Genomic DNA, 15,936 nt, shown 5'->3' on the forward strand with positions numbered 1-15,936 from the left:
CTTCTCCCTGTTCCCAACATGCCAAGTTGAGTCTACTATTAACAATATTTTCCAAGGAATTGACTGGACCTGGAATCTTTTTGGTACATTTCCGTATCAGTCATTTGACTTGAGCAGTCTTTGAAATCAAAAAGTGATATAAAGTCCTCATGTATTCTTTGAGTTACGATTAAATCTAGGTTTATTACCAAGTTCCTACGATGAGCAATATATGCCCAAAGCTAAGACTAGTAAGAGAGCAAGGAGAATGTGCTTCAGGGAATAGACTGAATTGGGGTTGAGATAATGACATGTAACTTTAAAAGCAAAGCATTGTCCTGAAACACCAACAATTAAAATCATTTTTCTTTTCCAAAATGTGTCTCTTACTCTCTACACACTGTATATATACATGACAGGGAGAAAGATCCACCGACCATTATTTTCACACCTGCAAACATATTCTCAAAGTTCCATATGTTTTTCAAGGCCTCAATGCTTAAGAAAATACACCTTGGCTGACTGGTTGCATATCTCCAAGGAAGAGGCTGTTTATGTCTGCTCCTGTCTGAATCTTGAGACTTGGAACACCTTATTATCATGACCCATAATTTCTTCCTCATTTACAGTTCTCAGCAGGATCTCCAGTTGATGGCTACACAGACCGTGCCCTAATCCATAGGAACACAGTTTCTGCATTCAATGTAAAAAGTGATCTTGCTTAAGTCCCAAAATCAATTAGTGCTTCAAGACTTGGGAAAATATTATCAACAAAGGAATAGCCACCCAAGGAAAAAAGCAAATAAATCCCTGCAGAGAAAATAAATGCCATTCATTTCCAGTCATATACAGCAATAAAACTGATTAAATTCCTCACAAATATAAGCTGACAAAGCAGTGGGAATGTGATAATGAAGGTCTCATAGCTTCACAGGGACTTTGCCTCCGAGAAGCTAGCAAGGATGCCTAAATCCTTTTTATTACTATTGGGAGGAAAGAAGTAGCAAGATTGAGAATTCTTTACCTCTGTTACAGTTCTATAAATTTTTATAAATAACTGTATTACTAAGCAAAGCACAGGGTAGAATTTAAGAAAAAGGAATGCCCCTAAAAATGAGATATACCTCCCCACTTTTCAGAACAGTATGTTCTGTCGTAAACAAGACACTTTACTATTCACATAGCCATGTGATACTATGATTGCAGCACCTGAAATGGAAAGTAAAAGATCTAAATTTTCAAACCATTTCTGGCACTGGTCCCCTGTGCTTTTCGACAAATGACTTCCCTGTGTTTATTTCCCGATTTACAAAACGGTGATAATTATTTCTAACCTACCCCAGAGAAGTAGAAGATAAAGCATGCTCCAGAACAAAAAGTATTTTTAAAAGACCTTAATAATAACAACCCTCTTTTTTGGAAAAAAAGATTGTTTCTATTTTATGGGGAAATACTTTACTAATCGTGAGTTTGTCCATAGAAAGATTTTATAATATTAAAAAAGAAAGATTCCTGAATATGGATGGATTAGCCTTGAGAATATATTTGAACTATATAGTTTCTAATGATTAAAATTTCAAAGAAAATATGTTTTACAATATGGATCCTGAATAACATATTCAGGATCCCACAATCCTATTTGTTGTATGTTATAATAACTTTTCTTCCGGCCATAATCCTATTTTTTATATGTTGTAATAATTTCTCTTCTGGCACCAAGGAAGAAAGGATAGCACATCACAGCAAACAAGTTAAGCATCTGGGTTTTCTTTGAAGCAGCTGGAAAGGCTTTCTTTCCCCATTCTGCCTCCATTATGTTGCATTCTGCATTGATGAAATAACAATAGGTATGATCGTGGTTCCTGTCCAAGTGCCTTTCTACATGCTGAGTCCCCACTGGAGGTATGGACTATAAGAAATGAAACTTGCTTCCCCCACTTTTTTTTTTTCTTTAACATTCCAACCCCAGTCTTATGCAACCAAATGAATTGCATCTTTCAATGGAGTCACTGGGAGGCAATACCCTTATTTCAAAGATGATGCTCAAAACTGGTTTTGGAATTGCCTTCGAAGCCAGTTTATGAGTTTCCTAAGCAAAATGACTTTACTACTCCTGCCTCCAAAGTACATTAAACAGACACAGCTTTTGCCTTGAAGACTCTTACAGTCTACTATGTGTTATTCTCACCCAGCCTGATCATTGCAAGAGAAAATCTTCAACAAAATAATCCCTGGAGAACTCTCAAGAGGTATGAATTACTGCAATTATGAAGCTACCATCTAAAGCAGCACTGTCTAATGGAAACAAAATGTGAGCCACAAATGTAATTTAAAATCTTCTAGTGGCCAGATCATGAAAAGATAAAAATAAACTGTTGAAATTAATTTTTTTTGAGACAGGGTTTTGCTCTGTTGCCCAGGCTGGAGTGCAATGGCATGATCACCACTCACTGCAGCCTTGACCTCCCTGGCTCAGTCAATCCTCCCACCTCAGCCTCCCGAGTAGCTAGGACCACAGGCATGTGCCATCACACCCAGCTAATTTTTGTATCTTTTTGTACAGATGGGGTTTCACCCTGTTTCCAAGGCTGGTCTCTAATTCCTGGGCTCAAGTGATCAAGTTCTGGGATTGCAGGCGTGAGCCACCACGCCTGCCTGGCTGAAATTAATTTTAATAATATATTTTATTCAACCCAATATATAAAAATATTATCATTTCAATATGTAATTCATATAAAAATTATGGAGGTATTATTTTTCATTATTTTTTCATATCATCTTTGAAATTCAGTATTTTACCCTTACAGCACATCTCAATTCAACTTTACCACATTTCAAATGCTCAATAGCCATGTATGACTAGTGGCTACCTGTTGAACAGCACAGACCCAGGCCCTTTTCTCCCCTGAATAATGAAGGCCAGGGCACTATTTAGTATTGAATAACTGAGCTCTTCCTGCCATTTTCTTAATTCCTTTAATTTATGAGTAGATAAAGTATAAAAACACTATCTATAACACTGGGCAGTTTGGTGTTCTAACAAAGAAAATCTTAGGTCAATCCAACACACACCGGAAAGAATAGAAGTCAAAACAGAGATAGTAAAGAAAGGCTTAGAGGCTCTTTCACCCACCACCAATTCTGCCTCTGATTGGCCTCTGATGCCACACTAGCTTGGAGAGACTGTATGCAGCTTCCTCAAAGCTGGGAAAAGGCCAGAGGCAGCTTTGAACCAGAGGAGTTTGCCTCTGCCTAGGAAAAACAGAACCTGTTATCTAAATTGCCTAATGATTCACAACCCAAACAAAGGAAACTCACAAGACCAGAATCCAGAGACAGCAGGGGGCCAGAAAAAGCTGAGACAGGAATGTCATGCTTAGGACCAGAAGGGGAGAAAGGAGATGAAATTGAAGACTCAAGAAATGCCTCTGAAGACTCTTAATTTCATTATCTCAAGAGACCAAGGCAGCCAGGCCTCTGTGCATTCTTAGGAGTGCAGACTCCATGGCCCAGACTGTGCGCAGACAGACTTCATATCTGTCACATGGGATGGAGGCACATCCTTCGGGGAGTCACATTAACCATCATCAAGATTTGCCAGTGTCAAGAAGCACAGGATGAGTATGATGGGTCCAAAGGGCCTGGGACCTGAAGAGGGCTGTCTAACAGCCAAGCAAACCCCATGGCCACATGCTAGACTGCTTCCCCACTGCCCACAGGGAGCTAAGGGAAACCATAGCTCGTGCCTCATGATGTAAGTAAGGATCTGTGGGCAACTGTGATTGCCATTTGCTTTTGCTTTTTTTTTTTTTTTTTTTTTTTTTTTTGAGACAGAGTCTTGCTCTGTCACACAGGCTGGAGTGCAGTGGTGCCATCTCAGCTCACTGCAATCTCCGCCTCCCAGGTTCAAGCGATTCTCCTGCCTCAGCCTCTGAGTAGCTGGGACTACAGGGGCATACCACCACATCTGGCTAATTTTTTATATTTTTAGTAGAGATGGGGTTTCGCCATGTTGGCCAGGCTGGTCTCGAACTGCTGACTTCAGGTGATCCGCCCACCTCGGCCTCCCAAAGTGCTGGGATTACAGGCGTGAGCCGCCATGCCCGGCTGCTTTTGCTATTTTTGTGAATGAAGGAATAAAGTTGATCTCCTTTAAAGAATTTAAAATTCTTCCATCGAAGAATCAAAAGAAAACAATGGAAACCTGAGATTTTGAACTTTAACAAAAATCCATGAAATTAATTGTATTCTCTTCCATAATTTGCCTGTTTTAATATAACAATGTTTTAAATTATTAACCAGATAAATTATTTATTTTCCCTTCTATATATTCAAGCAAAATGAACACTCCAGGAAGATGTGCCCCATTTCTCCTGTGGTCTTGTGTGCCTCTTTGAACACCAAAGGCTGGACAGGCCTAGTCAACATGCTCAGAACACACCTTCACTTCCTCTTCCTACATCCCTGCTCACTCCCCATGCCCAAAACGTCCTGCTCTCCGTGTCCATTGCCTACCTACATCTTAACAATCACTCAAGCACAGTTTAATGGATGTCCCGCCTCCCCTAAGAAGCTCCTCAATGACCCCTCTGCTGTCCAGACTTCATCTTTCTGTTCTGCCCTTAACCTGGGGAACCGTGGCTCCTGCAGATGTGTAGCTGAATCTTGAATCCACGCATACTCCTGTACCTCACACAGTCCCCGAGTTCTTTGCTAGGCATTGTGCTAGACTAGTGCCTGACATGTTTTTGGTCCCTCCTTCACAATTCACACTCCCTTTGGTAACATTTCTTCTCATACTAAGTGATTTTCAGTCTAGAGGGCAAGGAATCAACACAGTCTTTACAGGGGATGGATCATGGCCTCAGACACGGGAAAGGAAATCTCCACACCACACACTTGCCTGACCCCCTCTTCACCCACAGAGGAATCTGAGACTTGTGCCTCACACTGAATTAGAGACCACTACCATGATTCTAGGTGTGCTTTAAGAGAGGAGACTGGCCCGGCGCAGTGGCTCACTCCTGTAATCCTAGCACTTTGGGAGGCCGAGACAGGTGGTTCTCCTGAGGACAGGAGTTAGAAAACAGCCTGGCCCACATAGCAAAACCCCGTTTCTACTAAAAATACAAAAAAATTTGCCCAGTGTGGTGGTGGGTGCCTGTAATCCCAGCTACTAGAGAGGCTGAGGCAGGAGAGTCACTAGAACCCTGGGGGCTGAGATTGCAGTCAGCCGAGATCGCGCCACTGCACTCCAGCCTGGGTGACAAAGCAAGACTCTGTCTCAAAAAAAAAAAAAAAAAAAGAGGGAGACTGTATCTTACTGATCTTCAGAACTCCTCAGGACAGTACATTGTCTTAAATAACAAGTAGAGTTATGCTTGTTAAAGTTATGCTTGTTAACTGACTAATTTCTGTTACCAAAAAGAAAATAATGAGTGGTCAGGTGACCTCACCTGGGACCAGCCTGATGATCACAACCCACCATAGACACCAACCGGTCAGGCCACTCCCTCCAGCGACTCACAGATGTGATCTGAATGCACTGTACACAGGGTTATTTGCAGCCCTGAGTTTTCCTTAGGCCCCACTACTCAGCCTGCTCTATTACCTCTGGACTCCAGAGGGACCTTCAAACAAAAGGGGACACCAAAGTGGGAGTTTAAAATGGCAACCTACGGCCAGCACTGTCAGCGCAAACACAGCACTCCCTTTGTTCCCCACCTCTATTTCTTTTATATTTTGACTAATTTGCATGTATCTGAATAGTTCACCAGATCACAGGCTATTTTGAGGACAGGTATATAACTTTTTTGGTAGCTTCCACGGCAATGGATGTCATTCTTAATGTTTGCTAAATTTGTTACAACAATCCTCATTTTTTAAAAAGAAGATATTGACAAGAAAGTGTTCTGAGATGGAAACAAAAGAAAAAGAAAAAGAAAAAAAGATCCTTTTCTTTGAATAGTCACGGTAGGAGAGGCTGATTAGATATGGCCCATACTGTGAAAGAAAAATACAAAAAAAGATCATAAAGATTACAGTCAGTTAAGAGTGTAAACCACTGGAAAGGAATAAACCTGTGGTGCCAATAATCTCTGAAATATTTTCTCATTAAGAAAACATGAAAAAAGAGTCCTACAAGGTTAAGGATTGTTCTGTAAGAAAGGAACAAGCCTGGAAGGCAGAATTTCTGTATACAACATTTTGTTGATGCTTTGTACCTAACTGCCAAAGACAGCAAGAGAAGCGACTGGGGATTTTTTTCAAATATATTTTTATTATTGTTTTTAAGCCTGATGGGGCAATCTCATGCTTCTGAAAGCAATGGACAGCAGCCTGTTTGAAGCCAAGCACAGCGGGGTGGTCCCCCACCAAGAGCTTAGGCACTGCGTTCCCAGGCCCTCCACGGAAGAGCAAGTCTCTGATAAACTCCTGGGGAGGAAGGCGACTGTAGTCTTTCCTCAGCTGACTAAGCCAGAGCTTCAAATCAAGTCAGAGAACCACAGTAATCTTTGTATAACCCCAAAGCGGAGAGGAATCTGGGACAGAATGCCAACAAAGGCTAGCCCGGGAAATCTCTCTCTCGTTTTCTGGAGCGAATGCCTTGATACAAATATATTGCACACATATGTGCAGCAGTTACCACTGCCCTCAAGGAGAACCCCACACAAGGAGAGTAAAATGGGAAAGTATTAGTCTGTTTTGGTTCTTTAGTAGCTAAAATCTAACCAACTTTCATTTTTTTTCTTAGAAATATTACTACAGGGTAAATCCTCATTTTTACATTCTAGAAGAGATGAGTATAAACAATGCATCACTTTTGTTTTTTCAACTGATAATACTGGTGCCCCCTTTGAAACCTAAATGTCTATCTTGAATCTATTACTAATGACAATGTTAAAAAGATTCCAGACCAAAAGCACCAGCATCTATTTTCCGCTCATTCATGAATGCATATTCCTCACTTAGTGCCCCCATCTTCCTCCAGCTGCCTGTCTCTGGCCATTTCACTGCTCATTAATATTTCTACTGGAAGGGGAGGAGAACTTGAGAAAGATAAAAAACACAATCAGCCCATTTTTACCACTGGTTTCTGGGTAGAATGCAAGCTAGAAAAGAATATGAAATTTTGTAGAGAGTCATGTTTTCACATGAAGTGATATGAAAACATGACTCTACAAAATTTCATTATTCTTTGGCAAATATAGTTTGTCCTATGCTGATTGGTATGGTTTGGCTGTGTCCCCACCCAAATCTCATCTCGAATTGTAATCCCCAGGTGTTGAAGAAGGGACCTGGTGGGAGGTGACTGGATCATGGGGGCTGGTTCTCCCATGCTGTTCACATGATAGTGAGTAAGTTCTCACAAGAGCTGATGGTTTTATAAAGGGCTCTTCCCCCTTCACTTTCTCTCTCTCTCCTGCCACCATGTAAGATGTGCTTGCTTTCCCTTCCGCCGTGATTGTAAGTTTCCTGAGGCCTCCCCAGCCATGTGGAACTGGCTCTTAAACCTCTTTCCTTTATAAATTACCCAGCTCAGGTATTTCTTTATAGCAGTGTGAGAATGGACTAATACACTGATTTTCACCCAATTCCAAAAGATGGCTGCATATGTATCAAAAAGGCATACTTCAGCCAAAAAGTCACGAGCAGTCTAATAGCTCTTTGTTTTAGTTGGAATTCAGTGAACTACATTCTCCCATGGTGGAATCCATTCCCAGGGGTATTATGTCAGATACCGCTTTACCTCCCATGTGACTGAGGCAGCCTATAGCTGCCTTCTGACAGTCATCAAGGCAACGCTAACCTTTCTGCATCATTATCAGATGGACTCACCTAACTGTGGTAAGAGGACAAGTGTAAGAGACAAGGCTAAGTCTCCATTCTAACATAAGTGGTTGCACTTAGCCTCTCTGGGTCTCTGTTTTTAAAATGAAAACATTGTGTGGGGATTGTCTCTAAAACCCTTTCCAGCTCTATCTTTCTAGAACTTCAATTATCCAGGATTTCTCTGCATGGCTCCCATACTCTAAGCTGACCTGGATCACAGCCTACTGACACAGTGATTATAAGCTTGAGCTCTGAAATCAGACAGGCCTGAGTTTGACTCCATTCCTCCACTTAGGAAGTGCTATGCTTTGAATGAGTTATATTACTCTCTAAGCACCTACTTCTTCATCTAGAAATTGGGGATAATAGTAGTACCTATTAAATGGGTAGATACATGTAAAGTGCTTGGCACAACAACTAGGTTACAGGAAGTACTCATAAATTTTTGGTTGTTACTGTCATAATCATTCTCCATTATTTTCTCCATGGAGGCATCTGGAATGGACCATTCTCTCTCTCTCTGCCTATTCAAACTCTAGCATCCTTCCGCCAACAGCTCAAGCCCCAGCTCCTCTGTGAAGTCTTCTCACACAACTCCACTCATATTTCCCCTCCCTACTACGAAACAGCACTTACTGTCATTGTCAATGTCACACCATTTAGAAATTAGTTGTATAAAGTCTTACACTATTAGCAAGTGGGTTGGATAGCTAGCCTTACTGCTCATATAAGAATGTAAACTCTTGAAAGCAGAACCTGGAACTTTTATATGTGCGTAAACACAGAGGTGACACTGCTCATCACACAGAAGATGCTCAATAAATGAAGGTGAGTTGAGGTTTTTATTTTACCGAAAAAGTATTAATGCAAGTTCCCAAGGTGTCAAATATATACCCATGGATTGAAGAATGGGCCTGAATTTTTATAATCGTTTACAGCTTCCTACGTATTTTTCTGGATTTACAACAAAATCCCTAAGTAGAAGAAATCAGTCCATGGATCCCCAAGAAAACTAGAGCCAGCTCCCGCTCAAGTTTCAAAGGCTCTGAGGTGTGATGCTGTTAAAAGCATCTATTTGCCCAAAGTTGTTCTTATCTTCACAGTCACTCACAAGTCACAATATTTTAAACAATTATTCCCAGGCCCACAACAATTACTTTTTTTTGTGGAGGTCAATGGCGATAGAGTCGCTATTGTCTGTTTTTCAGAGAAGTCTGCTGAGCTGCCTTGTGGATGGGGACACTGGGACTATCACACAAGTATTAGGACGAGCATTTGCATGTGTGGTGAATGTTTCTCCTAGGAAAAGAACTAGTAGAGGATGGGAGGTGATCAGAAAGAATACTAAAAAATTTCAATCATTCCAAAGTGACTGCATGGAATTATGGTCCCCAAAGATGTCCTAACCTCAGAACCTGTGAATATGTTACCTTACATGGCAACGGGGAGTTAAAGTTGCCATGGAATTGAAGTTGCTAACTAGCTGACCTAAATATAGGGAGATTATCCTGGATTATTGGAGAGGGCATAGGTTATGAGCTCTAAAAGTTAAAGAAGGAAGAATAGACTAGAGTGACGAGAGAGAAGAAAAAGGAGGAGAGATTCAAAACATGAGGAGGACTCAACCCACTGTTAAAGGCTCTGAAGGTGGAAGGAGAAAGTCAAAGAATAAGGGGAAGCCTCCAGAAGCTAGAATGAGCCTTAAGCTGACAGCCAGACAATGAGGGTCTTGGTCATAGGACCACAGGGAGTTGAGTTCTCCCAAAAAACCCAAATGGTCTCTGCATTAGCCCTAGAAGACCAAATAGCCCAATGCTTACTTTAATGCCATTTCTGGCATCCTGGAACATCAATAATGGTGAGGTACAGTTTACCAGCACAGATAATCAGTGTAGCTACATCACAGTAAAACAAGGCACATTATTTGGTGTTAGTATTAATATCTGAATAGTCTCTTTCAAATATAGATAAGCATTCTGGATGTCATTTGGAGCAAAAAACCTCCTATGTCCTTTACTATATATGTTACAATTTTAATCAAAGTATAGCTGTTTAGTATAATAAAAATAAAATACTACAATCATTAATGGTTAATATTTTGTTATAAATATGATTGCTGATATTATAATAATATATATACTTAAGAACTTTCAGAGTTAAAAAATAGGAAAATGAATGAATAGTTAATGAAAGAGAAAATGTTACTTTGGAAGGCCAAGGCAGGTGGATTGCCTGAGGCTAGGAGTTTGAGACCAGCCTGGCCAACATGGTGAAACCCTGTCTCTACTAAAAATACAAAAATTTGGCAGGCGTGATGGTGGGCACCTGTAATCCCAGCTACTTGTGAGGTGGAGGCTGAGGCAGGAGAATTACTTGAACTGGGAAGGCAGAGGTTGCAATGAGCTGAGATCACGCCACTGCACTACGGCCTGGGTGACAGAGCGAGATTCTGTCTCCAAAATAAAAAATAAAAATAAATAAATAAATGAGAAAATGTGGTAGATAGATAACTTTAGGAAGAACCTTGTATATTTATGAAACCATAAATATTTATTAAAATTAAATAATAATACATGGCAAATAGATTATATAATTTTGATTTTTCTAGTAGTATATGGTAAACTAGCATTCATCACTTTAAACAAAATGACCTTTAAGCATCACATTTAATTTTTGATTATTTAATTTCATTTTTAAGTCATACATTTTTCAAAAAAAGGAGATGAATTAAAAGCAGAATTTCAACTTTGCTCCCTCAATAATTAATGGTACAAAAAACTCCAAAATCATATCCAATAGCTTGCATAATAAATCACCTTCAATTTAAACATAAAGAATATAAGAAATATGAAGAAAAGAAGAAAGTATCAGAGGAAATAATGAGGTTCTCAAAACATATTGTATTCTCAGTAATCAAAATCAAAGACTGCTTTAAAAAATAATTCCTCATGATTTTCAGAAGCTAAAATATAAATGAAAAATGTGTCATAATAATTGTTACAGGCTGCTAACCATCTTCAGTAGAAGAAGGAGGATTCTTGACATTCCTGATGCTCATTAACAGACTATTGAATTAGGAAATAAGCCACTTCGTCCTGTGCATAGTCAGCCTCATTCCCTACTGTTTCCCAGGGCCTAGCAGAGAGCTTGGCCCGTGGCAGGTGTGCCGCTGATGAGTGAACAAGTGAATGAATGAATGAATAATAAGCATAGGTAGTAGCAAATAGCCTGATGAGAGTAACAAGAGGAAACAGAAGCCATAAAAACAAATAAAAAGCAAACCGGAGACCAAAGGCTAGAAATGGTTTAATCTCTAGCCACTTAGCTATTATTATATCACACAACCTAATAACAATAAAGCACTCAGTATGTGTCAGGAAGTGCTGCAATCTCATCAGTACTATCGGGTAGTTATAATTTTTATCCACACTTTGCTGATGAAGAAAATAAGGCACTGGAAGTTTAAGTATCTTACCCAAGATTGCATAGGCATCAGTGAGTGTTGGACTCAGGCCATCTGCCTCCTGAGTATTTACAAAAGTCCCAACGTCCCTCTCTGGGTATTTTTCGTTCTCTCTCCTCCCCTCTCCTCCACTCCCCTCCCCTCCCCTCCCCCCTTCTCTCCTTCCCTTCCTTCCTTCCTTTTCTTTCCTCCTTTCTTTTCTTTCTGTCTTTCTCTCTGTCTCTCCCCCCCCACCTCCCTCCCTCTCTCTTTCCCTCCCTCCCTCCCTCTCTTTCCCTTCCTCCCCGCCTCTCTCTCTTTCCCTCCATCCCTTCCTCTCTCTCTCTCTTTTTTTTTTTTTTTGGTGGATTCTCACTCTATTGCCCAGGCTGGAGTGCAGTGGCGCTATCTCAGCTCACTGCAACCTCCGCCTCCCGGGTTCAAGCGATTCTCCTGCCTCAACCTCCCAAGTAGCTGGAATTGCAGGCACAAGGCATCATGCTGGGTTATTTTTGTATTTTTAGTAGACATAAGGTTTTGCCATGTTGGCCAGGCTGGTCTCGAACTCCTGACCTCAAGTGATCTGCCTGCCTCTGCCTCCCAAAGTGCTGGGATTACAGGTGCGAGCCACTGTGCCTGGCCAGGGTCTTTATTTCTTTCTAAGATCAGATGATCTTGTAAGATCCTTACAACTCCTAAGAAAAAAAAAAAAAGAGGGGTGGGGAAGGGATAGGTGTAATACAAAATGTCAAGTTGCCCTTAACCCTTAACTTGAATCAAAATAAATGAACCTCTGCTCACATAGGAAGCTGTCTTTCTCACTTACCTCAAGAGATTTCTCAAAGCCTGCAGGTCTCACTGGTGCCTGCTAATTCCCTCATGATTTTATTTTGCATCTCTAGTCAGCAGAGTCTTGAAGTTTGATAAGCCCTGCATAGGTCTTTATGCTTAGACAGGGCTCACCTAGCTACTTGTCCAAATAGGAGTCCTAACAGTAATGCATTCAATAATGTTTGTTTGCAGAGTTCACAGACACATTAATAATTAGTTTGTCTTTGTAGATTCTATATCTTTAAATATTTGGCTAGACGACTGTAGGAGACAGCAGATATGGGTACCAGATAAGAAGCAATGTAAGTAAATGCATTTTTTTAGCAGCTTGTGACAACCTGAATTTATTTCAGCTCCTTCTTCTTGCTGTCACTGTAGTTTCCAGGTGATTATTTCTACATAGAATCTACTTTTCATTTTGCTTCATCCTCCAGTGCAGCCTGTCCAACATAACATAGCTCTTGCCTCACAGAGAATTTTGGCTCCAGTGAGTTCTGAGAGGAGCATAAAATATAAGAAACGGATTCATCTTAAATGTGACCTTCAAAATGGAGTGCAAAAGATGAGATTAAAGTAAACCCAAACAAATTGGAAAGTTTCTTGCAATTTAGTCAATAAATATGCTCAGTTCAAGGAAGTTCGATATATATATATCTTACATATATATGTAAGATATATATATGTAAGATATATATATCATATATATGTAAGATATATATATGTAAGATATATATATCATATATATGTAAGATATATATATGTAAGATATATATATCATATATATGTAAGATATATATATGTAAGATATATATATCATATATATGATATATATATCTTATATATATAATGAATATATATATTCATTAATTATAAACTCATAGAAAGGCCACAGTGCTCTCTTCTCACAGAATTGTGAAAATCATGACTACTTCATGTTTCTCCTGCTAAAAGTTCATAATATCAACAATAAGACATTATAGCATAGTATATATTAAGTACTATAATAAAACATTGAAGATCTGATAAACATAGAGATTGAGAGGCATTTTTTCCTTCGACTCTGGGATTATGAATTCAATGGTTTGACACAGAGAATACAAATGCAAGACCCTTTGGTGCGGGGTGGGGGTGGTTTTAAAATGTATTGGTTATTGATTTCGGAACTTCTAGTTCCAAAATGATAACACAGACACAATCTAGGTTCACTCCTCTCCACAGAAAACCAAAACAAATATAAGGTGCCAAGATTATCACCAGCAACATCGCAGAACTCAAACATGAGGATGATTCCATTTCCAGGGTCACAGAGAAGTGAAAAACTCTGAGGAGATGGTAAAAGAATCAAATGTCCATATCTGCTACACCCCCCACCCACTGTGGCCCAACTCATGGTTTCTACACTGGAAAAAGTGAGATGGAGGTAAACAACCAGCTTCCCCACCATCCTGGGTTCCCTGGCAGGAGGCCTGCCCATGCTTTAACCCATGGGAAGCAACACGAGTACCCAAAGGGCAACACATCCCTGAGAACAGCCAGAGACAAAGAGGGGAGGTGGGACTACCATCCCCAGCCCTGGAACCTCTGCTTTGTAACTCAGCCAGGGACACCAAATCAGCATGGCTGTTCAGTAAAATGTATTGGTTATTATTTTCACTCAATAAAATAATCAACAAATTAGTACCTATTACTAATAAAATTTTAAAGTGATCCAACATGCTCTCAGTGTGGACATTAACAGGTGAAATCTAAAGAGGTGGCATGAATTAATGACTGGCTATGGAAAAGTTCATTCAAGTCTCATTATTCTGAGGCATGGGTTGTAATTTTCCTCTATGATAGACGCGCCAAATAAATGCATAATTGCAAAGAGTAATAGAATGTGGACACACTCACTGATTTATTCACATAACAGCTTTTCCTTAGCTTTGTCAGAAATTCATTTAAGTGTCTGAAGAACCCAGTGAGATTGGTTTCCTAGCACATATAACTTTGTTCCTGGCACAGAATTTCTATAATATTTTATAAGTCTGCCAATTGCATAAGTATATTTAAAACCTTGAATGAGCTCTCTCTTTGCCAACTACCAGTTTTGAAGGAAATTCTTATATGTAAGGGGAAAAGGGACGTAAGATTTAGAGGAATTAGTTAAGATTATTAACTCCATTTGAGTATTAAATCACATGTAATATTGTGAAAGCTCAGATAATAAGTGCTAAAAGTTTAGACTCTGCAATAAATTGCTCTATTTGTCTAAGTAGAAATGTGTTATTGAACAGGATCCGGTCACTGTCCCTTAATGGTTGTGCTACTGACATCTGAGGCAGGACACTTCACTGCAGGACTGGCCTGAGCACTGCAGATGCCTGTTCACTAAATGGAAACTTCACCCTCAAGTCACTGTGACAACCAAACCACTTCTGCTCTCCGTCTCATGTGTACTATGAATCTATGCACTCTGATGCACTACTGCTATGTGGATTATGTGGGTACTCTGGCCATGGGCTTCACTCTTTCCAGCTCTTTGCAGATGTATCCATGCCATGGGGAGAACATGAAAGGCTTTCATTAGCACTGACAACATCCTGAAAACTGGCAGAATTACAAAACCATCAGCTTTCCTAGTAAAAAGAGCTCTCAACATCAAGTGGTCCAAGCTCTCCTATGTATTTCTTTTTTTTTTTTTAATACTTTAAGTTCTAGGGTACATGTGCATAACGTGCAGGTTTGTTACATATGTATACATGTGCCATGTTGGTGTGCTGCACCCATTAACTCATCATTTAGCATTAGGTATATCTCCTAATGCTATCCCTCACCCCTTCCCCCGACCCCACAACAGGCCCCGGTGTGTGATGTTTCCCTTCCTGTGTCCATGTTTTCTCATTGTTCAATTCCCACCTATGAGTGAGAACATGTGGTGTTTGGTTTTTTCTCTTTGCGATAGATTGCTGAAAATGATGGTTTCCAGCTTCATCCGTGTCCCTATAAAGGACATGAACTCATCATTTTTTATGGCTGCAAGTATTCCATGGTGTGTATGTGCCACATTTTCTTAATCCAGTCTATCATTGGTGGACATTTGGGTTGGTTCCAAGTCTTTGCTATTGTGAATAGTGCCGCAATAAACATACATGTGCATGTGTCTTTATAGCAGCATGATTTATAATCCTTTGGGTATATACCCAGTAATGGGATGGCTGGGTCAAATGGTATTTCTAGTTCTAGATCCCTGAGGAATCGCCACACTGACTTCCACAATGGTTGAACTAGTTTATAGTCCCACCAACAGTGTAAAAGTGTTCCTATTTCTCCACATCCTCTCCAGCACCTGTTGTTTCCTGACTTTCTAATGATTGCCATTCTAACTGGTGTGAGATGGTATCTCATTGTGATTTTGTTTTGCATTTCTCTGATGGCCAGTAATGATGAGCATTTTTTCATGTGTCTTTTGGCTGCATAAATGTCTTCTTTTGAGAAGTGTCTGTTCATATCCTTCGCCCACTTTTTGATGGGGTTGTTTGTTTTTTCTTGTAAATTTGTTTGAGTTCATTGTAGATTCTGGATATTAGCCCTTTGTCAGATGAGTAGATTGCAAAAATTTTCTACCATTCTGAAGGTTGCCTGTTCACTCTGATGGTAGTTTCTTTTGCTGTGCAGAAGCTCTTTAGTTTAATTAGATCCCATTTGTCTATTTTGGCTTTTGCTGCCATTGCTTTTGGTGTTTTAGACATGAAGTCCTTGCCCATGCCTATGTCCTGAATGGTATTGCCTACGTTTTTTTCTTCTAGGGTTCTTATGGTTTTAGGTCTAACATTTAAGTCTTTAATCCATCTTGAAATAATTTTTGTATA

General features: G+C 39.9%; 1 protein-coding gene across 10 annotated transcripts in view; it reads right to left on the reverse strand.

Annotated features, from left to right (window-relative positions):
- ARSB (arylsulfatase B) overlaps positions 1 to 15,936 on the reverse strand; it is a 208,750-nt gene that overhangs the window by 147,319 nt on the left and 45,495 nt on the right. The window contains exon 6 of one of the 10 annotated variants that reach the window (XM_047417180.1): positions 13,959 to 14,513. The exons of the other annotated variants lie outside the window; for them this stretch is intronic. Coding sequence (XP_047273136.1) covers positions 14,416 to 14,513 — 98 coding nt within the window. The 3' untranslated portion in view covers positions 13,959 to 14,415. Of the gene's footprint in view, positions 1 to 13,958; positions 14,514 to 15,936 lie in introns of those variants that run through there. 10 annotated transcript variants of the gene reach the window in all.

This window comes from Homo sapiens, chromosome 5 (assembly GCF_000001405.40).
Source record: "Homo sapiens chromosome 5, GRCh38.p14 Primary Assembly".
NCBI classification, from domain to species: domain Eukaryota; kingdom Metazoa; phylum Chordata; class Mammalia; order Primates; family Hominidae; genus Homo; species Homo sapiens.